The following is a 26772-nucleotide window of genomic DNA, read 5'->3' as shown; positions in this document are numbered from 1 at the left end:
GTTAATCACAATGTATCAATATTGGTTCATCAATTCCAACAAATGTACAACTGAGGAACAACTATTGATACATTATGATTAACTGAAGTCCATAGTTTACATTAGGACTCACTTTGTGTGGCACAGTTCTATGGGTTTTGACAAATGCATAAGGTCATGTATCCACTATGAGAGTATCATACTGAATAATTTCACTACCAGTAAAAATGACCTGTGTTCCACCTATTCATCCCTCTCTCCTTCCCTGATGCCCAGGGAACCACTGAGTTTTGCCCTTTCCAGAGTGTCATATAGTTAAAGTTGTAGCGTTTACAGCCTTTTCCACTGGGCTTCTCTTGGTGCTGTACATTTAACATTCCTCCATGTCTTTTTGTAGCTTGAGAGCTGTATTAGTCTGTTTTCACACTGCTGATAAAGACATACCCCAGACTGGGAAGAAAAAGAGGTTTAATTGGACTTAGAGTTCCACATGGCTGGGAAGGCCTCAGAATCATGGTGGCAGCAAGAGAAAATGAGGATGATGCAAAAGCGGAAACCCCTGATAAAACCATCAGATCTCGTGAGACTTATTCACTACCACAAGAACAGTCTGGGGGAAACTGCCCCCAGGATTCAAATTATCTCCCACCAGGTCCCTCCCACAACACGTGGGAATTATGGGAGTACAATTCAAGATCAGATTGGGTGGGGATACAGAGCCAAACCATATCAATAGCTCTTTTTAAAAAAATCACTGAACAATATTTCTTTGCATGGATGTACCACCTTGTACGACAGTTTATCCATTCACTTATATCAAGGACATCTTAGTTGCTTCCAATTTGGGATGATTATGAACAAAGCTGCTGTAAACATTTGTGTGCAGGTTTTTATGTAAACATGTTTTCAGCTCATTTGGGTAAGTACCTAGGCATTATGTTTAGTTTTGTAAGGAACTGACAAGCTGTCCTCCAAAGGGGCTATAACATTTTGCAGTCCTACCAGCAAAGAATGATAGTTCCTGTTGCTTTTCATACTCACCAGCACTTGGTGGTGTTAGTGTTTTGGATTTTAACCTTAATAATTTCACTGCCAGTAAACATGCCCATTTTAACCATTCTAGTTTGTAGTGGGCATATTCTTTTTACTAAGTTAAAAAAAAACTCAAATATACATGTATATACATATGATTTTTAGGACTATGTACATGTGGAATAAAACCTTGTAGAAGGAAAGCAATAAATAGTAAAGACAGGATTCAGAAAGATGGTTACCCCAAGCGAAGGCAGGGGTGTGTGTTATTGTGTGTAGGAGGTATAGCATAGATACAGATATAAACTCGTGTCATTATAACTTTTTAGTGTGGTGGGTTTGTGGCTATAATCAAAACTAAAGTAATAAAGGTGGGTGCGGTAAACTGAATAATGGTCCACCAAAGATTTCTATGTCCTAATTCCCAGAATTTGGGAATGTTATGCTAAAAGGGACTTTGCAGATGTGATTAAGAATCTTGAGATAATCTTCGCCCAAAGTAATCACAAAAGGTTCTCGTAAATGAAAAGGGGTGGCAGGAGAATCACGATGTACGTACAGAGGCAGAGAAGAAAGAAGATACTATGCTTCTTTTCTTGAAGATGGAGGATGGGGCCAAGAGCCAAGGAATGCAGGCAGCCTCTAGAAGCTGGAAAAGGCAAGGAACCAGCCCTGCCGACACCTTGATTTTAGCCCAGTGTAACTGATTTTGGACTTCTGACTTCCAGAATTGTAAGAAAATAAATTCGTGTTGTTTTAAGTATCTAAATTTGCAGTAATTTGTTACAGCATCAACAGGAAACTATCACAGCGGGCCAGGCATGGGTTAATGAATTGGATTATAATTAAATCCAGTTCTACACCTAGGTCCAATTAAAAACATAGACAAAACCTTTGAGTGGCTCCTCACTGCCTGGAAGAGAAAGCTCAAATTCCTCAGCATGAAATAGATTCTTGACAACACGGTTCTACAAGGTCCTCTCTAGCTTTAGTTCCCTTCCCCCCGCTCCCGCCCGCATCCCCAGCCCATACATTTTAGCCATGGGTCCTGGCGTCTGAGCCTTTTGTTGTTCCTACGGACTCTTATGGGGCTCAACTCCTTTGCCGTGTCTCTATGAAGTCTTTCAGGTTGAAATTTCCTCCCCTGAAAATGGACAACATAAGGGCTTGCTGCATGGTTGATTCTGCTTTCAAGATTAATGTTCAGTGGCACGCATACGCACCGCCACTTGCAGAGGTCGACATGCACTTAGTACATGTCGGCAGAAGCAACTCTTAAGCCATTACTAACCGGGGCAGTTAAGTTCTGGCAATGGGCTGAAAGATCTTTCTTCATCGCCACTCTTCACTAAGCTACAAGACCAAGTACTTTCTCCTGAAGGTACTTAGAGGAGGAAAAAAGCACACCAGGAACTGTTGTGGGGGGTGAGAAGACAAATTCTACAGGGATGCAGAGCTAGTATGAACATGGCTTCCCCTATCTTCATGCAAAACTGCGTTTCTAGCCCACATGACTGATGTCTGTAAACGCAACTTTATGTTTGTGCACGTCTCTGCCCAAGGATTTTTTTTTCTTTTAACTCCAAGAATACGGGGGGAGTTGGGCAAGTCATTATAATAGGGCTCCTCTTCTTACCCCACTATCCGATGAGACATTTGATAGGGAAACCTCTGAAACTTGTAAAGCAATTTACAAGCAGGCCACCTACTTGTATTTAACAAATAGGCTAGAAATACCTATTTGTGGGAAATCGAGTCCCCAAAACACCCCAACCCCTCCGGGTCCCCGCCAGCACAGCCTCTCTTCTGACTGTCGCGCGAAGCGGCGGTTGACTAACGCGAGCCAGCCGTTCTGATGAACACAGGAGGGCCGGACGGCCCTGCTGGCTCGGACACCACGCGGAGGGAGAGTGCTGCCTGAGCCACAGTTGAAGAAACCGCTCTCGGGCTGGACGAAGGCGGAGCAGCAGCTCAGACTGGGCCAACAGAAGAGCCTTACAATGCCTGGAGCAGTCCGAGGACAGCCCCCGGCGCGAGGAACTCTGGGACTTGTAGTTCGCTTTCCCAGACAGCGCTTTTCCCCACTTGGTCTCCCCGCCTTTCAATGTCGCTTTTATTCTTCCCTTTACCTCCCAGCCCGCCGACTTCCTGGTCGTCGCACGTCCTCACGTATGACTACACTACCCAGAAGTCTCCTCTTCACGTCCCAGCGCGGGTGGGCGCCGGCGGCTCCTCTTAACCACAGGTTCCAGAAGTCCTCTGCAGAAGTGCTTCCCTCTCTCATTTCCAGGACCACAATTCCCAGAGACTTCGGCTTCACGACGTTTCTCTTTTTGCCCGATCTCTCCCGGAGCTGGCTGGGCTTCGGCCGGCCAGAGGCCCACAGCGACGACGTGATCCGTCGTGAGCGGGTCCCAGGGTTTCCTCGGCGGCCCTTTTTTCTCTCCCCTCGGTCGTCCCCCTTGCAGGCTGTCGCGGCTGGCCTGAGCGGTGACCTGGCGGGTCGCGCCTGCGCTCTGCCCTGTTTCCTGCCTGGCTGGTGGCGGCGGCCATTTTGTTCATCCTCCTCCTCCTCCTGCTCCTCCTGGTTGGAGCGCAGTGTCCGGAGCGGGCTGGGGGGAGAGAGCCCGAGAGCAGGGTTCGGTGCCTTTTCCTCTGTCCCCAGCCGGTGCCCAGAGCCCCCCTCCCCTTCCTCCCCACCCCCTCCCCTCCCCAACCCTGCCCTCCCCCTTGTCCCGGGATCGCTCCGTCGCACCCACCATGATGGAAGACGACGGGCAGCCCCGGACTCTGTGAGTACCCGAGACGAGGGGTGCCAGGCGCCAAGAGGCCCGGGCACCGCGGGACGCTAAGGGAGGGAGCAGGAGAGACTGGGCCGAAGCCGGGACTCTAGGCGGCTCCCTGACCAGGGCGGCGTGGACGCGAAGTGCATTCCTCATCTGTCCCCTTTTCCTTGGGAAGGAAATCCTCCCTTCCCCCAAACAGTCACTTCCTGGGGTCTGGGGCTTGTCTCGACCTTTTTCTCTGGCGTCCTTCTTTGCATGCCCTCCCTAGGCCGGGTTTCTGCACGGCTGAGGCTGTCAGGCCCAGGAGAACTCCTGCACCCCCTCCGCGTTGGACGCCCTGGGCTGGGCCTGGAGCTGCCGGCGCCCACGGGGGAAGGGCCTGGCGGGGGTAGGATTGGGGGTGGGCCCGGGGGTGGGCCCCGCGGGCCCTGAGGAATTAGCACTCACCCCTTCCACGTCCTCAGCTCGAGTCGCTCCCAGCTCTTCTCCCCAGCTAAGCTCTCGGAGGAAGCAGGACACTCTTTCACCACTCAAGCCCCTTCTCTCTTTATGCCCCACGTGCCCCCGCCCACGCTGTCAGAAACACCCGCCTAGCGCCCGCTACTTTTGAAGTACATAAGGGATACCTTTTGCTGCCCGAGCATCTTTCCCTTCTTGGATAAAGAAGTTTACTTTGAGCGCTCCCTACGCTAAACTGACAACCAGTTGTTAAACTCCTTTTGCTCTCTAGGTGTTGCCTCTTCCTAATCTGTTTGTGCGTCGAAAGCTTCAGAGTTGGCTAAAATTATGTCTTCATCCGCTATTTGATGTGTGTCTTCTGAACGCTTTTTCTCCTGTCTTGCTGTTGCTTTTTACCTGAAGCTCAATCTAATGAATGAATTCCATCTTCCAACCACTTAATTCTGGTTTCCTTCCTTTCCAATGAAGAGTGATGACTCAGCATTTGCATTCCTTTCTGAATAGTGTGGCACTCCTTTTCTCTGCATCTTTTTTTTTTTTTTTAAGTCTGAATACTTTTTAATTAAATGTTTAAATTGGGCACCCTAATTTCCCGGCCTCTCCAGGTCTAGCACTCCTACCTTGAGTACCAAGGAGTCAGATCGCTGCTTTGTTTCTCTTGCCTCTCCTGGTATTGATAGGATCATAGTCCACTTGGCTCTGCTCTCTGATGGGGAAATTGCTTTTTAGGGAATAGATGAAGGTGGAGGGGCACTCGAGAAGTTTGACTAGCTTCACATCTCTTCACTCCTACCAAAGAAAGGATGCTCAGTAAAGAAGATAGATGTTCAGTATTGATAGAGATTTTTTTGGTGTGGCCTTGTACAGGAATAAATGTGTTCTCTAACGTCTCACTGAAGTATCCGTCCCGTTTTGAGAATCTGAGGCCTACTGAAGCACATCCAATGCTTCAATGAAACGCCTGCTTAATAGAACGTCTTTGTGTTTTGTGTTGTCTTCCATTTCTGCCTTCTCTCCCTAGAAGAAAGAATTGGGACACACTTGAAATTTGTCCTTCAGGCCGGGCGCAGTGGCTCACGCCTGTAATCCCAGCACTTTGGGAGGCCGAGGTGGGCGGATCACGAGGTCAAGAGATCGAGACCTTCCTGGCCAACACGGTGAAACTCCGTCTCTACAAAAAACACAAAAATTAGCTGGGCGTGGTGGCGCGCGCCTGTAGTCCCTGCTACTTGGGAGGCTGAGGCAGGAGAATCACTTGAACCCAGGAGGCAGAGGTTGCAGTGAGCCGAGATTGCACCACTGCACTCCAGACTGGTGACAGAGCGAGAGTTCGTCTAAACAATTAAAAAAAAAATTTTATCCTTCAACATCTGTTGAAGCCAAGACTTGGTGTTGAGTTACAATGTGTACTTTGATATAAGCATCTGGGAAAGCTAGGCTTAAAGACTAGCTAACATGTATTTAACAAAGATAAAAGTTACATTGTATCTAAAAATCTGAAGTATCATCACACACTGAATGATTGATAAATACTCATGGCAGGGGTCTCATTTACTGTATCTGTTCCTTACCAAGAGGAATCTCTGGTTTTGTAGTGCTAAAGAATGTGCTTTTTTGATGTCTTTTATTTATCTTTGCATCTGCCTTGCCTTCATCCCTATCAGAGTTTCTCCAGGGGAATAATAAGCTAACTTCTTTGTCACTTATTTCCTTCCTCTACCTTCTCTAATCTCTTGTTCTTTCTTTGAAACAGTTAAGTTGTCTATGTTTACAGTTCTCTAAAACTGTGACATGTTCATATGAATAAATAAACATCTTAACTCTGTTGTTTTGTATGTCAGTACGTGTTTACTATTCTGTCTTCCTTTTTCCTTCTCCCACCCTTTTCCATAGGGCCTTTTTTTTTTTTTAAGAGAAGGACTACTACATCTTCCTAGGTCTTACCCCCACAGCACTTAGTTCACTGCCTGGAACATAAGAGGTACTCAGAATTTCTACAGTGATTATACTTCTTTCATTAAATTAGTATTAAGTTCTTTTTTAAAAGTCCTGGTTGAACTAAGATTGTAGGCAGACATTACTGTCACATGTGGTGCAGTCTGTTGACTTTTATATATTTTTTAAAACCTTCAAATGTAAAATCTTGAGATAAAAGCAAATGTTTAACAATTGGGATTTTTATTAGAGTTTAATACAAATAATGCATAGTTTTTCTAAGTGTACGTTTTACATATTCTCAAAGGGTTCTATTAGATATAAGTAACATGATGAAAACTGAACATGATTTTAGACGTTGATATCTAGTAGGGTTTTTTGTTTATGGAGATCTTATATTTTACATTGTGAGCTATGGATTAGGTTTTTCAAGTGGCCAGTATGTTTTAAAAGAATGTGTTCTTAACAAAGCTTATCTTAAATTGTTTCCTTAAGATGCCTGTGTGTTACTAGTGAGGTTTTTTTCCTGCAGACACACACAAGCTAAGACATATGGTTCTATCTTCAGAAAACAATATGGTGTTTAGAGCCTAGGTAGGTCTTTAAATATTCATTACCTACAGTATTACTAATTTATTTGATGGTATTTAAAGTGGCAAGAATTGCTTTGATGTTGAGCCTAAATTTCTATTTGTCATATAGTTGCTTTAAAGGTCTGTTTTCTGATGTTCTTCATTCTCATTTGACATTTATTTTGGGGTATTATGCATTGAGTAACTTGTGATCTAAAAAAACAAACAAGATCATGCTGTGTAATACTGGTGTTGGAACTGGACTGTCTGACACCTGCCTTGTGGGACACACATTTCAGGCTTGGGTTGTGTGTATCTTTGTAGTGCAGTGATTTGATCCATGGTATATCTGAATCTACAATATGACACTAAATTGTAATAGTGTTTTATTGTAGCTTATTTTATTTTCTTCATCTATCGGATGCACCAAAATTGCTAGGAATTCGTGTAATACCATGTTACACAATCCCTTCCTTTAAGGCTATTCTTTCTTCCTGGAAATAAGCTAATGATTTAGAGTATAATCTGAACATCTAAGAACAAAGCAGAAGAAAATTCTATAAACTATTACAAAATTGACTGGCTATACCATGGATTTGGCTATACTGTGGCTATAATCAAGCCCCTCATTCAAATTCAACTTAATCATATTCTTTGTTTCTTTAAAGTAAGAGAGAGAGAGTGAGTGTGTGTGTGTGTGTGTGTGTGTGAGAATATCTCATATATATAGTTGGTCAATTTAGTTGTACCTCCTGCAGCTATCTTCCATCATGCCTCCTTCCTAAAATGAAATACTGTACCGACAAATTGAACAATTAATTAGAGATCTATTGAAGGATATTATTGCAAAATCTCTTCTTGTATAGGACTTGTCAAGAACAAAAGCAAAACTATTATGGAAATTTAGCTATAGTTTTTTGTGTGAAAGTGCTGATAATTTCAGCCTTGGTAGGGCTACTCTTTTCAGAGTGAGAGCACATTCAGTGTTGAAAAAGTGTCATTAGTCTTCTGAAAGGCATGATATTCTTAACTTAAAATTCTGCCCAGTCGGACACAGGAAGTAGTTTGGCAATGTGAATTTCTGCCTACTGTGAAACTGCTAAGTTTTTAGCCCCAAATTGGATTTTAACCCTGATATTAGAGATAAAGGTGTCATTTTCAGTTTTTAATGCTTCAGTTCCTACAGTTCCTGTTCTTAGAAGACAAAATAGACTCTAAGGTATGCCTCTTCTGAATTTTTTCGTTGAGTTAAAAATCATTTTGGAATTTCCTAAGTGTTTACTCTTTGAATTGACCTCTCAATACAAAAATTAGAGCCATTTATCTTTTTTCTGTTATTTTGTGTATGTTCTTTAGGTAGCAATTATATATTTAAAGACTTGGATCTTTAGCTTGACTATTTCATAACCAGAGCAGAAAGAAAGTGAAGTGTAGAAGCTATAATTTGGAACGAATAAAGATGTCATTTCAATGAACTACCAAGAGATGATCTTACTAGGTCAGGCATTGAACTTTGTCTTAAATATTTTTGTTAGTATTTACTTTGGGACAGATTATTTTATGATACTGTAAAAGTACTTAAAATAGAATAGTACAGTATTTTAAAAGCTATACAATACGTCTCTCAAGTGTTATGATGCACGAAGGCAAATGTAAATGAAGAGGCAATCTGAAATTTGGGTACAAGAACTCAGTAAAAGAAAAGGCAGTCTGAAATTTGGGTAAAGTTTAGGTGAAATTATATAGTGAATCATGGCCTTTTAATCCTGGTAAATTAAGATATTGTATGTGTTGTTATGGAAGGCCTTTCATGTTAGTTTTTGAAATTTAGTTTGCTGCTTAACATTTAACTTTTAGTGGAGATAATTTGAAAAATAGGAAACCTTAATACTGGATTTTTAAATAAATATTTCATGACATTCTAAACTTAGATATTAACGTTTTCATCTTTGCTTTCAGTGCTAGAAATGTAAATTAATATATCTAAATATGCCTCTAGAAATTCTTCAAGATCTGTAACTGGCGGGAAATAGGTTGACTTAGAATAAAGATTTTTTTTTTTTTTTCAGATGGAGTTTCGCTCTTGTTGCCCAGGCTGGAGTGCCATGGCGCGATCTCAGCCCACTGCAACCTCCACCTCCCGGGTTCAAGTGATTCTCCTGCCTCAGCCTCCCCCAAGTAGCTGGGATTACAGGTGCCCGCCACCATGCCTGGCTAATTTTTTGTGTTTTTAGTAGAGACGGGGTTTCACCATGTTGGCCAGGCTGGTCTTGAACTCCTGACCTCAAGTGATCCACCTGCCTCGGCTTCCCAGAGTGTTAGGATTACAGGTGTGAGCCACCACACCTGGTGGAATAAAGATCTTATTAAGCAGTGACGGCTTTTTTTGTGACTATTAGATATAGAAGGTAACTAATTCCAATACAGTTTTTCCTGAAGAAATTGATGTTTAAACAGTAATGGAAATTTAAAACTATTTAAATCATTTAAAATGTGTTATATTAAAATGATAATTCTATTTTAATTTTGTTATTAGCTAGCTTCAATATGTGAAAACCAGTTTTATCCATCCTTCTTTTCTCTTAGAAGTGAGCTAACTAGCCCTTTAGGCAAGGAGCATAATGTTTAGAAGCTCAAGATCACTTGTTCGTTTCTTTCTTTCTTTCTTTCTTTCTTTCTTTCTTTCTTTCTTTCTTTCTTTCTTTCTTTCTCTCTTTCTCTCTGTCTCTCTCTCTTTCTCTCTTTCTTTTTTATTTATTTTTTTGAGATGGAGTCTCACTCTGTCGCCCAGGTTGGAGTGCAATGGTGCAATCTCGGCTCACTGCAACCTCTGCCTCCCAGGTTCAAGCGATTCTCCTGCCTCGGCCTCCCGAGTAGCTGGGATTATAGGTGCGCGCCACCATGCCCGGCTAATTTTTGTATTTTTTGTGGAGACAGGGTTTCACCATGTTGGTCAGGCTGGTCTCAAACTCCTGACCTCATGATCCGCCTGCCATAGCCTCCCAAAGTGCTGGGATTACAGGCGTGAGCCACCATGCCTGGTCACTTGTTCATTTTTCTTACAGATAGGTCTACTCTGTACAAAAAGAAATCATTTCAGAGATACAGGCTCACAAACCCCTATGAGTTAAGAAGGGGCAAGCAGCCTATCGCTGGCTCATAACCCAATAACCTTTTAGTCCTGCTGGAAAAAGTATGTCACTACATTGGCCTGCTGATGGATCAGCTCCTTAATTACGTGGAAAAGGTGGCATAGTGGACGTAAAACAGTTTGTCACTTGTTTAGTCCTCTAGTTAGGTAATATTGGATGTGTGTTTCAATTTTAGAGCAGGTACACTAAGATTATTAGTACTCATTGCAATAAAATTCTTAACTGGAAAATCGCTACTAATTCTTAATTGGATCTTTTAAGTTTTTTACTTAACCTAAGCTTTCTCAGTCTATTTTTCCCTTTGAGTATTCCATCTTAAAGCATGTTGTGTATTTAATGTGGCAGCTATGTTGCAAGTCTTATTTTGGTCTTAATACTCAGTTTCCAGATGTAATATATTACAAGTAGAAAAAGAAATCTACTTTCCAGAATGAACTTTGTTAAATTTTACAGATATTGTTTGGTTTATGAGGTTGTTCATAACAGATGCAAATTTGAGGAATTATGTGTAGAATACCAGAAAGACTTTAGTGTTTGGCAATTTATTTAGATAAATTAAGATAAATCCATAGTACAAGACATAAACCAAGGTGGTCCTCTCTGTGTGATGAAGTAGCATTTTTTTCTTTTCTTTTTTAAACTTTCCTGTATTTAAAATCTTTTACACAAAACACATTCAATTGTAATTAGGAAAAAAAACCCAAATTTTTAAGTGTCCATAGTCAAAAGTATGCCTGGATTTGTCTTAGTTTTTCTCTGAATTTCTTAAGAAATCTTTGTATTAGCTTTTTTATCTACATTAAGATATATTTTGTTGGCTGGGCATGGTGGCTCACTCCTGTAATCCCAGCACTTTGGGAGACTCAGGCAGGTGGATCACTTGAGGTTAGGAGTTTGAGACCAGCCAGGCCAACATGGTGAAACCCCGTCTCTACTAAAAATACAAAAATTAGCCGGGCGTGGTGGTGCACGCCTGTAGTCCCAGCTACCTGGGAGGCTGAGGCAGGAGAATCGCTTGAACCTGGGAGGCGGAGGTTGCAGTGAGCTGAGATCATGCCACTGCACTCCAGCCTGGGTGACAGAGTGAGACTCCATCTCAAAAAAATACATATATATTTTGTTGATTCTGATGCATTTTAGACTAGGAAATTTTATATTTTACCCTGCTCTCCTAAAATGAAACAGTGAAGACATCATTGCAAACAACCTTACTCAGCCAAAAACAAAACAACAAAAACCCTCCACCCTCTGTATGTTTTACTATAACTTTAATTCTGTTCTTTGTTCATGTAATTGCTTTGGTTGGGAATCTAAGATAAACTCACTTTATGTTTAATATCCTATTACAATCAGATGTTTTAATGAATTAGTATTTGTTGTATGTGTGTGTGTGTTATAAATTATTTTTAATTAGAAATTGTAGTTATCTTGAGACCAGTTTAAAATTTTAACAATTAGAATAAGATGAGAAAATGATATCCAGGGTACAGAATAATAATGCCATTGGGGTATACAAGATCACATTGATTTGTTCTTTAAATGTCTTTCAGAGTGGTATTTTAGTGGCCTAAGAACAATTGTTGCTTTCCTAAATAAGGGTTAATCTTACTTTCATAGGATCAGGTTTAATTGGAGAAATTTTGTTGAAAACAGAGGAAGTTAAAATGAAATAAAAGGTGGCCGGGCGCAGTGGCTCACGCTTGTAATTCCAGCACTTTGGGAGGCCAAGGCGGACAGATCACCTGAGGTCAGGAGTTCAAGACCAGCCTGACCAATACGATGAAACCCTGTCTCTACTAAGAATACAAAAATTAGCCAGGCATGGTGGCATGCGCCTGTAATCCCAGCTACTTGGGAGGCTGAGACAGGAAAATCGTTTGAATCTGGGAGGCGGAAGTTGCAGTGAGCTGAGATCATGCCATTGCACTCCAGCCTGGGCAACAAGAGCAAAACTCCATCTAAAAAAAAAAGAAAGAAAGAAAGAAAGAAAGAAAAGGTGATGAATTAGATGATAACACATTAGAGCCAGAGCTAAAGGAAAAATTGCTGATAACGTATTTTTTTCTTGTGCAGATACGTAGGTAACCTTTCCAGAGATGTGACAGAAGTCCTTATACTTCAGTTGTTCAGTCAGATTGGACCCTGTAAAAGCTGTAAAATGATAACAGAGGTAAGATCTTCCCAGTTCCATGTGCTGACAATTAGCATGATGGGTTGATTAGCATGATTTTAAAATTTCATTGTAAGCCTCAAGTTATTCTGGTGGAGAGATTTGTGTTGTGTTGACTTATTACTTTGATTTGGCTGACAAACTAGGCTTAGAATGGAGTTTTATTTAAGAGGGCAAAGTTTCCGTGCTGTTAAGCTCAAACGGTCATTCTTCATGGTGTGGTTATCTTGAAGTGATTCTGCTTTCAGAACATTATTAGAGCTCATTTCAGAATGGTGAAAAATTGGAAAGTATTTCATACAATTCCAATAAGAATGTTAACGATTTAGACAGCATGTGTTCATGTGCGAGAACACGAAGTTATTATGTGTGTAGTGTGCAGCACCGTTCGTCTCGTGTGTCTGTAGCAAATACTTACCTTTTTATACTTTCCTGCTAAGACTGTAGCAGCACCCAATTAGTCATGTTTTAGGCTTTTCTTCCTTGTGTTTTTGTTCATTGATCAGCTTTCTTTTTTTTTTTTGGACTATTTCCTATGTACTAGATACTGCAGTAAGTGCTAGAGATACACTGGTGAATAAAGATAGTTCCTTGGCCCAGAGAATTTTACAGTTTAGTAGGGAGACAAAGGAGTTAGCAGGCACTTAGGAAGTAGGATAATAAATGCTCTAGAAGCAGACAACTTAAAGTGCTGTGGGAGCAAATGTGTATCCAGTGCAGCCTTAGGTCAGTGAGCGGCTTCTTGGAGGACTCACTGCCTAGGCGGAAACCTTGAAAGGATAGTAGTACATACTGGCTAGAAAGGAATTGAGGGAAGAAGGGATTCCAAATAAAGGGAACTTTGATCCAGGTTGGTAGGGAGAGCAGGAGTGCTTGAGACAGAGAGGGAAAAATAGAACCCGTAGCATGGTTGTAGTTAAAATGGAATTAGTCGTAAGAGATGGCAGGAGTTTATGGAAAGGGCTAGAAACTGTGCTAAAGAGTTTGTTTTATCCTGAAACGGAGAACTGTTAAAAACCTTTAAAGTGCATTGGCCTTTTGATTGTCTTTCCCAAGTAATGACAATCATCATTTTGTTCTGGTGTATTATATTTTTCCTTCCTGCCTTTAATTATTTATTTGTGCTTTCATCGATCAAAAATTTCCTTTGCACTAGGCACTATACAAGGTACTGGAGATATAATGGAGAGACAGCCAAATGAGTTTCCCAAGCAAATAGGGATGTAAGCCATGAAGAGAATAAAACAGAGTTCTGTGATGATTGGAGGGTTGGTGCTATATAGGCTAGGTGATGAGAGATGTCACCTCTTTGAGCTGAGATGAATAACAAGATGGTGCTATCTATGGTAAGAGCTGGAGGCAGAGGAAACAGCAAATACAAGTCTTGAGTTGGTAATGAACTTGTGTTTGTGGAATCAAAGACCGATGGCTAGAGTCTGGTGAGGGATGGAGGGGAGTTAAGGGAAATGAGTCTAACAGCAGGATTCAGAATCACAGGACATTATGGTCCATGACATAGTTTAGGTTTTACTCTGATTGCTGTGGCAGACCAGTGGAGGGGCTTAAGCAGGGGGATGAGGTGCCAAGATTTGCATATTTAAGCTTACTACTCTATGTAGAGAATGACTGTTTTATGGAGAATAGATTGTAGCGGGCAAGAGCAGAAGGAGAAAAACCATCTGGATTTACTTCACTAGTCTAGGTAAGAGATGATGGAGGCTTATTCTCGAAAGTGCTAGCCGAAGTCAAGATAAGGACAGAGGTTGATAGATTTGGAATATATTTTGGAGGTAGAATTGATAGGACTGGGTTGGCTGTGGGACATAGGGAAAGGAAGAAATCAGGAAATACCCTAAGATTCATGTTAATGCAGTTGTATAGTTGGTAATGCTATTTATTTGCTAAAGTGGGGGTGACCTGATGGATGTCACCATGGGGAGTGGTGGGAATCAGAAATTGTGTTTTGGATGTTAGATTTAAGACATGAATTAGACATCAAAGTGGACGTTAGATTAGGCAGTTGGATAAAGTAGTTTGCAACTCTAGAGAGACCGGTGCTGAAGCTTGCAGTGGTATTTGAATCCATGAAGCCATGGGACTAGATGAGTTCACAGAGAGAGAATGATGGTAAAGAAGAGCACAGAGGCCGTGAGGTCTGAGCCCTGGACAAGCTCAACATTTAGAGTTTGAGTAAGGGAAGAAAGATCCTACAGTGAGGAAACAGGAAAACCAGAGTGTGGTAGGAGACAGAAGAGAATGTTTAAAGGAGGATGGTGGTCAACTGTAGTGAATTCTGCTTGGAAGTAAAGATTAGGATGGAAAAGGAATCACAGAAGCAGCAGAGAGGTCATTGTTGAGCTCAACATGCAGTTTCAGTGGCATGGTTAGCTTGGAAGCTGACAGAAGTAGGTTTAGGAGAGAACGGGTTGTGAGAAAGTGGGGAAAGACTCACTAGAAAATTTTTGAGAAACATTTGTAAAGATTTATTTTAACTATTTTTTAAAACCCCATGTATACATACAGCTATTTGAAGGGTAGAGGGACTCGAAATGAATTTTCATAACATCCATATTCTAGAACTCCTAGATTTGAGCTTGTAAAGTCTCATATTTCTCTGTCTTGACATTTATGTCATCCAACAAAAATTGGTGACAACGCTAAATAAGGTAGGGACATAACGGATTTTTTTTTTTTTTTTTTAAGAGACAGGGTCTGACTCTGTCCTCCAGGCTGGAGTGCAGTGGCGCCATCATGGCTCACTGCAGCCTCCACCTCCTGGGTTCAAGTGATCCTCCCACCTCAGTCTCCCAAGTAGCTGGGACAGCACCGCCACACCTAGTTCATTTTTAAATGTGTTTGTAGAGATTGGTTTCACCATGTTACCAATGGTCCCGAACTTCTGGCTGGTCCTAAACTCCTAGGCTCAAGTGATCCTCCTGCCTCTGCCTCATCCTCCTAAAGTGCTGAGATTATAGGCATGAGACACTGCACCCAGCCATAATTGATTTTTTTTTTTTTTTTTTTTTTTTGAGATGGAATCTTGCTCTTTTGCCCAGGCTGGAGTGCAATGGCATGATCTCGGCTCACTGCAGCCTTGGCCTCCTGGGTTCAAGTGATTCTCCTGCCTCAGCCTCCCAAGTAGCTGGGACTACAGGTGCGTGCCATCATGCCCAGCTAATATTTTTTATTTTTTTATTTTTTGTATTTTTAATAGAGACAAGGTTTCACCATATTAGCCAGGATGGTCTTGATCTTCTGACCTCGTGAACCGCCCACCTCGCCCTCCCAAAGTGCTTGGGTTACAGGCGTGAGCACTTTTTTTTGAGACAGAGTCTGGCTCTGTTGCCCGGGCTGGAGTGCAGTGGCACGATCTTGGCTCACTGCAACCTCTGCCTCCCAGGTTCAAACGATTCTCCTGCCTCAGCCTCCTGAGTAGCTGGGATTACAGGCGCCCGCCACCACACCCAGCTAATTTTTTGTATTTTTGGTAGAGATGGGGGTCTCACCATGTTGGTCAGGCTGGTCTCGAACTCCTGACCTCAAGTGATCCAGCTGCCTCAGCCTTCCAAAGTGCTGGGATTACAGGTGTGAGCCACTGCACCCAGCCCATAATTGATTTTTAGGATGTCACTTGGTGGTGTAAATAAGAAGCTTCCAGAGGGTATAAACTCTAGCAGAGTATCTAGCAGCTATTTATTTTTCTTTCATAAATTTCATTTCAGTATGTGAAAAATCCTTTTTCCCCCATAGTTTTATGATTTTTTTTTTACTTTAGATGTTGTTATCATAGATTCTAGCTTTCCTTATATAATACAAATATATATTATTGATTCTAAGTCAAATTTTTTTAGAATTTTAATATCTGACAGTTGGGATGTGACTTAGAAATAAGTGGTGTCTTAAATTAGATGATATGCAGTGTGATGTGAATATATAAAATATGTGATGTCAGTGAATATATGTGTATATATACATGCACGTGCATACATTGATTGGGAGCTGGCCTACTATTAGATAGATTTGAAATTGGTATTCACGAGTAGACTAGTTTCCTAAAGTGTATGGGATTATCATAGATCTGCTGTTGGACCCCTGTATGTTTTGCTGTGATTATCAGTGTTTTCCTTAGAGACCATTGGGGCAAAAGAGATAGGAGTGAAAGGAAAACTCAACTAGCACAATTTTAGCCTCTTATTTATTTTGATGTCCTTTCTTCAATGAATATTTATGGTAAATGTAATAACTCTTTTACAAGAATTTAAATGTGTGTTTTCATTTGAAGTCTTCCCCCATTTCCTTTCTTTACCTCTTAAGAACAGCATTCACGTGGCTACAACAGTAGGATTTTGTATGAGAGCCCATAGTTTTGTTGTCAGTATTAACGATCCCACTTTTTTTCCCTCAAGGAAATGCCTTCTGGTTCCTTTGCCACTATTGTTTAGACGTCTTATTTTGGATTTTTCTTCTAAAACTTTCCTGGAATGAAAAACTGTTGTGGTTGAAAAGATCTTTATTTTATCTGGTATATTTATCCCTTGTAAGTCCAACTAGAATTCCACATTTTAAATATTATTCTTATAGGGCATTTTACATTGAATAATGATGAATGTTTTTAGCCTTACATAAAAATATGTATTTGTACAGTTGTGCAGCTATTCAGTACAGGTTGCAGTTTCATAGAAATTCATTTCTAGTTTGGTTGTCAGGTGAGAATGTTGCTATAGCTTAGGTAGTACTACTTTCTTCACATCTTTATAAATGTGTTTTAGGTAACTACTGTCAAGCACAGGGTTGCAGAATATATTTAATATAGATTTTTTATATGGTGTTCTTATGATGTAAACTTATAGCTTTGTCTTGGAATATTTTATTCAGATACATTTTCAGAACCTCTTTTCTTGATCACCACTGTTATTTCTCTGATCTTTGGAAGACCAAATTCAAAGTATATAGAATCTTCAGTACATTAGACTATTTTGGAAGGTAGGGAATTCATTTCAGTAGCTGGTTATAAAGCTTAAGTTTTCTTGTTTTTATTTTCATTCTTTCCATATCCAGAAAAGAAATCAATAAAATTCAGTCTTTGTAGCAGCATAGAATTCCATCATTTGTAGTATTGATCCTAATTTTGATCAGTAGTTTATGAAGTTGGTTCTTGCTGTATTTCTGTATCCTGGGATACCACTTATAGAGGATTATGATGCATAAGTAGAACGTAATTTAAAAATAATATTGGAGAAGGAAAGTAGTGGTAAGGAGTGGTCCTCATCAGATCTGAGTTTGAGGTTTTGTTTGGTTTAATATAATCTTCTATTTTATATTTAACACACTTCACCAGAATTCTTTATTTTCATTTAATACTGATGCTCATGATTCTACAACTGCTTTTATAGTTCCGTTTGAGTTCAGCAGTATTCTGAGGTGCAAAGTCAGGTTTAGCTTTAAATCTTATTTAAAAAGTGTTAGGCTTTCATAAGCTTATGCAGTCTCACCTTGTATATTCCCAGCTATCAGTAATGTTTTTTCCTGGATTTTCTTCTCAGCAACCCGATAGCAGAAGGGTCAACTCTTCTGTTGGATTTTCTGTTTTGCAGCATACAAGCAATGACCCATATTGCTTTGTGGAATTTTATGAACACAGAGATGCAGCTGCTGCATTAGCTGCTATGAATGGGAGAAAAATTTTGGGAAAGGTAAGATAATAGGATGATGGCACCTTATGAGTACATATATTTGCATGTCAAACTAGTTTGTATTCTTTCTAGGCAAATTTTTGAGCAGATATTCGGCTGCTGAGTGATGGTTTTGCTTTATTCAGCTTAGTGCTTTTACAAAAATAACCCTGCTTGATAAATGATTTAATAAGTGGTAAGTGTTGTAACTCATGACATGCCTAATAATTTTATTAAATATAATCTTTATTTTTAGGAGGTCAAAGTAAACTGGGCAACCACACCAAGTAGCCAGAAAAAAGATACTTCCAGTAAGTACTCCTGCTGCATTTTACTGTGGAAGAGTTCTGAAATTATCCAGGAGGCATTACCAGCTTAAATAGGTTTTTTTTTCCTCCTCTAGAGTTGCCTTAAAAAGGTTTTAGTGGCTGACTTCTTAAGTATTTGATTACCAAATGCTCTGATTTCAGATCACTTCCATGTGTTTGTTGGGGATTTGAGTCCAGAAATTACAACAGAAGATATCAAATCAGCATTTGCCCCCTTTGGTAAAATATCGTAAGTATCATAATCAGTACTACACTCAGTCATGATAGGCAGAATTGTATATGATTAACTTGTAATTGAATTAAGATTTTCTTTCTCTAGTTAGTATGGTTTTGTTTTGTTTCTTATTTTTCATTTATTTATTTTGGTTTGTTTTGAGTAGTGGATGTTGTTGAAAATGTTAATGTCATTTCAGTGTCTTGGGGTCTCGTTTTCATCTAATCCTGTGTATAATATGTTAAAAAAAATTTAAGTGATTCTGTTTGTTATCTTTGAAGCAGATGTTTGAATGGTAAAACTTATAAAGTCTAGCTTTTTGTCATATGTTTTCAAAATTTGATGGTTTAGGATAATGAGTTAATCAAAAGTAAATGTGATCTATACTGTGTAAGAGTTCAATAACTTTTATAGGAGGAATTTATAAATGGGGGAGAGTAGGTAAATCCTTGGATATATTGTGATTAAATTGGAAATGTTCATGTTTTATTATGATAAATGTGTTTTTGATATTTTAGCTATAAGTGAAAAGTACTATTATACTATTAAAATGTTTCAATGTATGAGTCATAAATGTGGGATTAATTAGATGTTTTTGTTAGTGATATTTGATTCTACTAGTTAAGAGGCAAATGTGGTTTGATTTTTAACAAATTTATGCTCAGATTTTACTGTTGTTACTTGGTAAAAAATATATTGGAAAACTAAAAATGGTTATGAATTGTAGAAAATGTTTATCATAATTTATCTTTCTGATTAAAATCAGTTTATTTTGTATATTTCCTGTAGATTTAAATTAAACATCTTAGTACTACTTTACAGGAAAGTGTTTCAACTAAGAACAACAATATTTTCTCTATACAATTTGTTGTTCTATAGATTTAATTTCTTTAAAAGATGTAATTCTTAACTTTCTGTTTTGATATTTGCTTTGCTTTTTAATCTAAATGTGGTAAGTAGTACTATTTTAAAAATCAATATAAAAATAATACAGGTTGCTGTTTTTCAATCTTTATTTATACCTGAGACCTGCAGTTTTTCTTAAGTCCAAGTCACAATTAAAAGTAATAGCATTCTGGTTATTTTGCAGAATTGCTCATAAGAATGGACAGGATCTTGAAGGCTAACTGCAAGGAACTGTGCACACTGGAACTCAGTTGTAGATTTTTTTTCTCATTTCTATTTATTCTTATTATACATTATTTATATATACATATTTTAGTATTTACATTTTAACATTCTATATTCAGTGGAGTTCTATATTTCCAATCATTTAACTTACTCACTAAAATTTCTGTGTAAATTTGTTGTTTTCGTACTGGTGTGCTTAGCATTGTTGTTAGTTTTTTATTCTCCTTTCTTAAATTTCTGAAAATGTCAATTTTTCAAAATTTACAGCTGCCCAAACTCCAAAATGATGGTAGAGAATTGACCAAGAAAAATAAAGAAATCTGTTAACAGGCCATGTATGCCTTTTTAATTCCTATTTTTTCCTCTTTTTCAATTTTTTAATATTTCATATATTTTGTATCACTAGGCAGAAGACATTTAACTATTTAGAGATTGCATGGTAAAGTAGTTAGTATTGTTACAGTAATTTATAGAATCAGTAAACCTTAGAGGACACTAGTAAATAGAATATTAGAAAGGGAAACTGTTGTTCCTATTAATCTTCAAATTTGAGCATTTAGTTTAGAAAGCACAGGCTATTTGATTAGGTTGCATGTTTATTACATGTTTTTGTCCTACTGCTTTTTTCTAACAGGTAAAGAAGCATTAGGGAGAGTTCAGGAATGGTTGTAGTTAATTAGGGCTAACTGGAATTTTATTTTAAAAATGCTCACAATACAGTGTGTGTGGTTCCTTTTAGTTTTTATTTTGAGGGTGGCTCTTACTTCCCTCATTTAGCTGTGCTTCTTTTCACAGGGATGCCCGGGTAGTTAAAGACATGGCAACTGGAAAATCCAAAGGCTATGGTTTTGTATCTTTTTATAACAAACTGGTACGTTCTTCCATCTCAATTTATATTTTTTAATACTAAATTTAGTCATTAGTTACTTAATGTATTGAATCTGAAACTTGAATATACTTGAATGTTAACTACAAACACAACTTTTATGTAATGTTATGTATGTTTTAATAATAGAGTATAATTTCATTCCTCTTTCATAAACTCGAAAATAAATAGCTAGAAAAAGAATGATTATACTATAAGGAAGATTATTAAAATTGTGTTTGTACATTGGTAAAGGTCAGATGGATTTAGAAGTAAAGCCCAAGTCTAGGACAGATGAGCTAATCTGAGAATTTAGAGGTTAGGTAAATTATATTCAGTTTTAACCATGAAAATCTCAGTTTTAACTCTACCTTTTAAATTATTATTCATACTCTTATATAACTGGGATGTGAATGACTACAACAAATTATGTAAATAAAAATTTAAGCAATTCATCTTGATTTTTGCATATATTCTTTGTAAAAGGGGTACCAAAGTAAGCATTTGCATTAACTGTAACATTAAATAATAAAGTGGGCTTTGATTTTAAAGCAGTTTCAATAACTTAAATCAATGTTTTGTTTTGTTTTGTTTTGTTTTTTTGAGATAGAGTCTCGCTCTGTTGCCCAGGCTGGAGTCCAGTGGTGCCATCTCAGCCCACTGCAACCTCCACCTCCCGGGTTCAAGCGATCGCGCTGCCTCAGCCTCCTGAGTAGCTGGGATTACAAGCATGTGCCACCACACCCAGCTCATTTTTATATTTTTGGTAGAGACATGGTTTCACTTGGGTTCGCCAGGCTAGTCTCAAACTTCTGATCTCAAGTGATCCTCCTGCCTTGGCCTCCCAAAGTGCTGGGATTACAGGTCATCTACATTTTATTGAAGTGGTAAGATAAAGGGCCAGAGTATTCTGTTTTTGCTTAGATTGAATCTCAAGTTCAAATCGTTTTCTAATTGGTAATAGTTCAGTTTCGTTTTGTTTAGGATATTTAGTAAATTCATCTACTGATTTGTATGGAACCAGCAGCGCCGATATTTTATTTCATCTTACAGAGTCTTATTTATCACTCTTTTCTTTGTGATTGTGCTTTCTTTTTTATCCATAGGATGCAGAAAATGCGATTGTGCATATGGGCGGTCAGTGGTTGGGTGGTCGTCAAATCCGAACCAATTGGGCCACTCGTAAACCACCTGCACCTAAAAGTACACAAGAAAGTAAGATATGTCCACTGTGTGTGTTAAAATTATATTCTTCACAAAATCATGTATCATGTATTCATCTAGTCTCAATTTCTAATTTATTTATGTAAGAGACAGGGTCTTGCTCTGTTGCCCAGGCTGGAGTGCGGTGGCATGATCTTAGCTCACTGTAGCCTGAAACTCCTGGGTATAAGTGATCCTTTCACCTCAGCCTCCTGAGTAACTGAGACTACAGGGACATGCCACCATGCCCAGCTAATTTGTAATTTTTTTATAGAGACAGGGTCTGGTTACGTTGTCCAGGCTGACGTAGTATTTAATTAGTGTTGCAAGACTCTAATTATTTCATTTTATATTTCATTATCTGAAAATAATTGGGCTGTGGTATAAGTATTTTTGGAGCTGTGAATCACCTGATTTTATAGATCAAGTCTGTGTCAAATCATAGCATCAAGAAAAATTATGTTTTCTCCTCCCATTGAGGCATATCTTTTTTTTTTTTTTTTTTTTTTTTTTGAGGTGGAGTCTCGCTCTGTCACCCAGGCTGGAGTACAGTGGTGCGATCTCAGTTCACTGCAACCTCCGCCTCGCAGGTTCAAGCGATTCTCCTGCCTCAGCCTCCTGAGTGGCTGGAATTACAGGCGTGTGCCACCACACCCAGCCAATTTTTGTATTTTTAGTAGAGACAGGGTTTCACCGTGTTGGTCAGGCTGGTCTCGAACTCGTGACCTCGTGATCCACCTGCCTCAGCCTCCCAAAGTGCTGGGATTACAGGCGTGAGCCACCGTGCCCTGCCTTAATTTTTGTATTTTTAGTAGAGACAGGATTTCGTCATGTTGGCCAGGCTGGTCTCGAACTCCTGACCTCAGGTGATCTGCCCACCTCAGCCTCCCAAAGTGCTGGGTGCCCGGCCTGAGGCATATCTTAATAGTATATAGTAATTAACAGAAGAGTTTCATAGTACAATATAACAGTCAACGTTTTTGTTTTGTTTCTGCATACAGACAACACTAAGCAGTTGAGATTTGAAGATGTAGTAAACCAGTCAAGTCCAAAAAATTGTACTGTGTACTGTGGAGGAATTGCGTCTGGGTTAACAGGTACAATGTTTGGTTTTCTAATCACCTCTGAGGAGCTTCATCACTGTTCATATGAATTTCATGATACACATCAGCCATGTTTTATTTGTATGTTTTGTTTTATAGATCAGCTTATGAGACAGACATTCTCACCATTTGGACAAATTATGGAAATAAGAGTTTTCCCAGAAAAGGGCTATTCATTTGTCAGGTAACACTCTACTTGAAATATCATTATTACTCTTATATTTGATTCATTCCTTTCACTTATGTTCTCCAGGGTATCAGTGTTTGTTATTTTAGTGCTTCTTTGCAGTATAGAAGTTTAAGCTACCTACCTAATGTACTTTAGAAAAAAAATACCAACTTGCAGGTGTAAACTGATGAGTTTCCATGTTATTTATTGTGTTAGGTTCTTAAAAAATAAAAGACAAAACCATATCATTTTTCTTTCTTAGATTTTCAACCCATGAAAGTGCAGCCCATGCCATTGTTTCGGTGAACGGTACTACGATTGAAGGACATGTGGTTAAATGCTATTGGGGTAAAGAATCTCCTGATATGACTAAAAACTTCCAACAGGTAATTCGATTTTTCATAGCATTCTTTAAGGTTTCCATCTTACATGTCACATAAAAGCTTTGGAAACTCTGTAAAATGAACAATAAAATAAAGCATATAGCTACTTTCAGTTGATTGTATTTCAAAATTGATTATTTGCGGTATTAACTGAATCTTAATACTTTCTTTTCACAGGTGTCACCACCCCAATAAACTTAGACAATGATAAATAACAGAGTCCTATTCACATAAGGGTGCTTACTTAGTTTTTCTCTTCCTTGTCTCCCACTCTTTCTTCATATACGGTGTTTCTTATGTGTTCCCTAAAACAATACTTTGCTTTTTCCTAGGTTGACTATAGTCAATGGGGCCAATGGAGCCAAGTGTATGGAAACCCACAACAGTATGGACAGTATATGGCAAATGGGTGGCAAGTACCGCCTTATGGAGTATACGGGCAACCATGGAATCAACAAGGATTTGGAGTAGAGTAAGTTGTTTGGGTTTTTCCAGTATAGAAACGTATGGTTCTGACAAAATAAATAAAAGTGTGTTTTCCTAGGGAGAATCTATTTTAATTATATACATTGAGCTATTTGGCATTATGAGCATTATAGAAACTAATCTAACAAAATATGATTTATGAGGCTAAGAAATTACTTCTCATTACCTAGGTGGAAAGGGGGGATTGGGGTAACATTTAGTGTGTCCTATGATCCCTGTAAGCAGTTGGTAGAATTTGATTTACATTTCTGATACACTTTTATTTATTTTTGCATGTAAAAGATCTTTGTCCAGATATATTCAAAAGTTTGATGGTTTTATGCCTATGTGGTATGTGTGAGAAATCTGAGGTTTGTGTGATACAAAGTAACTGGCCTTTTTTTTTTTTTTTTTTCTTTTGTTGATAGAGTGGTTTCCTCCTTTGTAATTCCCCTGCCCAGGGCCAGCCCATAGCTTTATTTTCAGATTTCTTCCTTTGAGACTGTTTCCAACATGAACTTGTTTTTAAAATTTCTTATGTAATAGATGATGTGTTGAATCATTCACAATTTTTAAAAAATTAGTTTGCAGATACTCCTCAGACATCAGTGTGTTAAGTTGTGGTTATCTTAAAAATATCAAAGACTAATACTGGAATATGTATTCTACACATATATCATTTATTTCTTTGATCTTTCTATTTGTTGTAGGTGTGTTGATTTCTGGTTTTCTATTCTGTGATTAGGCTCTGCTTGATTTTTGTGTAAATACATATGTGATTTTTTTTTTCTTGTGTTTGCTGAAGATTTTTTCTTTTTCTTCCAAGTCAATCACCTTCTGCTGCTTGGATGGGTGGATTTGGTGCTCAGCCTCCCCAAGGACAAGCTCCTCCCCCTGTAATACCTCCTCCTAACCAAGCCGGATATGGTATGGCAAGTTACCAAACACAGTGAGCCGGGACTCTAAAAAAAAATTGTAATTCATGATAGGCTTCGATTTCCTGTGACACTCTGAAGACATGAAAGTAGACATCGGAAAATGAAAATATTTATTTTAAAAATTGAAATGTTTGGAACCTTTAGCACAGATTTGCTTTGGTGAAGGACACGTGTCTTCTAGTTCTGCCTTTTTAAGTTTTTGTTCATGATGGATATGAACATGATTTTTCTTTATGTACAAAAACTAAAATAAAGTCAATAAAGACAATTCTGACTACAAATTTTGATATAATAGGAAAAATGGCTAATACATTTTGATTCTTAGATACTATTCCATTTTTATCTTGCTGTTCAGTATTTTAACTCACTGTGTTTTTAAAAGAGCAAAAAAGGGAGGATCGTGAAAACCTGGGAATCACATATAAGTTCATCCTGAATCCTGATACTCCCCTCCCCTTCCCTGAGGTGGACCACATTTGAAGTCAGCAGAGAAAAAGTGTGATATTCAGAAGAAATGCGTGATTTTGGAGTCGCTTTGGAGGAAATATTTTCTTTCTCTATGCCTAAAGAAACTGAAGCCAGACTGAAGTTTTGCACCCTAAAAAAGGAACAGCATTGTTTGAGTTACTTGAGCAAATGTTGGTGGTCCACGTTAAGACATATTTTTAAAACTTCCAAAAGTGTCGATTATTAAAATTGTAGTATTTTACATTTCATTTTGGGGGGAAATCCAAGTATGGTGTTTGTATTGAAGTCAGACAGTCATACTTGTGCTTTTACATGAAGTTTAAATGATACATATTGTAAATATTCAATAACTACAGTGTTTAAAAAGCATGCTTCAACATAGAAGTAGCAGCAATGTAATTATTTGAAGTAACACTTAACACACTCCGCTGCATTGAATGCAGTGGATTGATCAGAATGTTAAGACTGACATTTCCAAGGTTGGCTACTATGTAAAATTAAAATTACACAAATTGTGCAGAAAAAGCCTTAATTTTAATTTCATACAATCTTTGATGCATTAGTATGTTCTAAAATGTCATTGGGAATTAGTTTTTTGTTTTTGTTTTTTTTTTTTTTTTTTTTTGCTTTACATTACTTGGTATGTAAATACCTTGATTAAAACCTTGTAAACCAATTTCAAGGTTACTATAAGTTGTATAGTACAAGTGTTTTTTAAAAATCTTGGGGTGTTTTTAAAAATTAAGATATATTTTGCCCAAGAATTTTTTTAACAAGATTGCTAAAAACATCTTATTTAGACACTTCAATGTACCAATTTATAATTGGATATTCAGTTTAAATAGTACACAGAGTTGTGGCTTTTATTTTCAATTAATTTTTTTCCTTGTGGGCAGTGTGCATGGTATAATAAGCCTGAGCAGAGGCTTAAGTTGTATGTGTGCAGAGTTTGTAAAGGAATCAATTGGAAGATGCAGAAGACCGAGGTTTGCTTTCAAGGTATTTTTCAGGCTGTGTGGGTAAAATTTGCCTCAAATTTCTATCAAACAGGAATGTAAAATAGATAAAATCCTATGTATTTGAATTGTCAGAGCTAGGGAGTGCAAATGTTTTGGCAATGTATTCAAAATGCTGGCCTGGGCACCAAAGAGAAAATAGCCTTTTACAGTTACATAGTAAGATGCGATTAGTACCCACAAATTACTGTTTTCTAAACATTTGAAGTTTTACGATTAGCTTTAAAATAATGATTTTATAAATTGGTGGTCACAATAATTTTGGTATTACTTTCCTCCTTTTCCCACTTAGCAATATAGCCAAATGTATTCAACATAAAAATTCATAGGGTCTGAAATTCATAGCTGGGCCAAATTTTTTATGGCACCTTAGTTTTACCATAATGGTCATCTATTACACTCTTCTGTTATAAAATATACCCTTATTTCTTTTGTTTATAGTATCTTTGAGGAATGTTTTTGGAAAAGTTAATTTATATTTTATAGGGAGAACACTCAATAAATTATGTTAACTGTGCCCCCGAGTTAAAAATTTTATGAGTATATGTGAAACTTGAACAACTGAAGACTTTTTTTAATTGATAAAAATGCTTAGTATGCCTGTTTTGGTCTGCCAGTAAATTAAGTAGCTTATTGAGATAACTAACAGCTAAATATAGCTGTAGTGTTTCCTGACTGTATATTCTATGATTTAATAAAATTATCCAGACTAGTTATATTGCCACAGTAAA

The 26772-nt window shown here is 38.3% G+C and overlaps 1 protein-coding gene and 1 long non-coding RNA gene across 17 annotated transcripts, besides 7 other annotated features; one reads left to right on the top strand and one right to left on the bottom strand.

Annotated features, from left to right (window-relative positions):
- LOC105378512 (uncharacterized) lies at positions 431-4673 on the bottom strand. Its single transcript, XR_946358.3, has 2 exons — positions 4245-4673; positions 431-3623 (listed from the first exon to the last, which is right to left on the bottom strand). It is a non-coding gene; the product is annotated as an uncharacterized LOC105378512 (long non-coding RNA).
- Positions 2046-3043: an enhancer, noted in NCBI's record as "H3K27ac-H3K4me1 hESC enhancer chr10:121356706-121357703 (GRCh37/hg19 assembly coordinates)". NCBI's record gives its function as "activates a minimal SCP1, AML or CMV promoter by ChIP-STARR-seq in naive H9 embryonic stem cells {active_cell/tissue: H9 hESC(naive)}" and the evidence as "EXISTENCE:reporter gene assay evidence [ECO:0000049][PMID:30033119]".
- Positions 2061-2150: an enhancer, noted in NCBI's record as "active region_4127". NCBI's record gives its function as "activates an Ori minimal core promoter by ATAC-STARR-seq in GM12878 lymphoblastoid cells {active_cell/tissue: GM12878}" and the evidence as "EXISTENCE:reporter gene assay evidence [ECO:0000049][PMID:35858748]".
- Positions 3041-3630: an enhancer, noted in NCBI's record as "active region_4126". NCBI's record gives its function as "activates an Ori minimal core promoter by ATAC-STARR-seq in GM12878 lymphoblastoid cells {active_cell/tissue: GM12878}" and the evidence as "EXISTENCE:reporter gene assay evidence [ECO:0000049][PMID:35858748]".
- Positions 3041-4042: a biological region, named in NCBI's record as "H3K27ac-H3K4me1 hESC enhancer GRCh37_chr10:121355707-121356705".
- Positions 3044-4042: an enhancer, noted in NCBI's record as "H3K27ac-H3K4me1 hESC enhancer chr10:121355707-121356705 (GRCh37/hg19 assembly coordinates)". NCBI's record gives its function as "activates a minimal SCP1, AML or CMV promoter by ChIP-STARR-seq in naive and primed H9 embryonic stem cells {active_cell/tissue: H9 hESC(naive and primed)}" and the evidence as "EXISTENCE:reporter gene assay evidence [ECO:0000049][PMID:30033119]".
- TIAL1 (TIA1 cytotoxic granule associated RNA binding protein like 1) lies at positions 3273-26772 on the top strand. 16 transcript variants are annotated; one of them, XM_024448151.2, is made up of 14 exons: positions 3273-3803; positions 6724-6785; positions 8120-8261; positions 11989-12085; positions 17629-17778; positions 18014-18068; positions 18228-18315; positions 20227-20302; positions 21403-21511; positions 22501-22596; positions 22702-22786; positions 23034-23157; positions 23487-23626; positions 24446-26772. In XM_024448151.2, exons 4-14 carry the CDS (start codon positions 12074-12076, stop codon positions 24570-24572), a joined length of 1062 nt encoding a protein of 353 aa, XP_024303919.1. In that variant the 5' UTR covers positions 3273-3803; positions 6724-6785; positions 8120-8261; positions 11989-12073; the 3' UTR covers positions 24573-26772. The 16 variants fall into 16 exon arrangements, 12 of the variants coding, with proteins under 12 accessions (XP_024303919.1, NP_001310896.1, NP_001310893.1 ...); NM_001323967.2 differs by lacking the exons at positions 6724-6785; positions 8120-8261 and adding an exon at positions 19699-19766 and having other exon boundaries at positions 17680-17778; NM_001323964.2 differs by lacking the exons at positions 6724-6785; positions 8120-8261 and adding an exon at positions 19391-19766 and having other exon boundaries at positions 17680-17778.
- Positions 3641-3750: a silencer, noted in NCBI's record as "silent region_2879". NCBI's record gives its function as "represses an Ori minimal core promoter by ATAC-STARR-seq in GM12878 lymphoblastoid cells {active_cell/tissue: GM12878}" and the evidence as "EXISTENCE:reporter gene assay evidence [ECO:0000049][PMID:35858748]".
- Positions 4161-4260: a silencer, noted in NCBI's record as "silent region_2878". NCBI's record gives its function as "represses an Ori minimal core promoter by ATAC-STARR-seq in GM12878 lymphoblastoid cells {active_cell/tissue: GM12878}" and the evidence as "EXISTENCE:reporter gene assay evidence [ECO:0000049][PMID:35858748]".

Source organism: Homo sapiens, chromosome 10 (assembly GCF_000001405.40).
Source record: "Homo sapiens chromosome 10, GRCh38.p14 Primary Assembly".
Lineage (NCBI taxonomy): Eukaryota > Metazoa > Chordata > Mammalia > Primates > Hominidae > Homo > Homo sapiens.
The sequence above is the reverse complement of the archived record's forward strand: the minus strand, read 5'-3'. Positions and strand labels throughout refer to the sequence as shown.

Coding starts and splice junctions, on each gene's coding strand:
- TIAL1 (NM_001033925.2), top strand. CDS start 3,772: ATGATGGAAGACGACGGGCAGCCCCGGACTCT. Junction 21,512..22,500: donor ACCTAAAAGTACACAAGAAA/GTAAGATATGTC, acceptor TTCTGCATACAG/ACAACACTAAGCAGTTGAGA. Junction 22,597..22,701: donor AATTGCGTCTGGGTTAACAG/GTACAATGTTTG, acceptor TTTGTTTTATAG/ATCAGCTTATGAGACAGACA.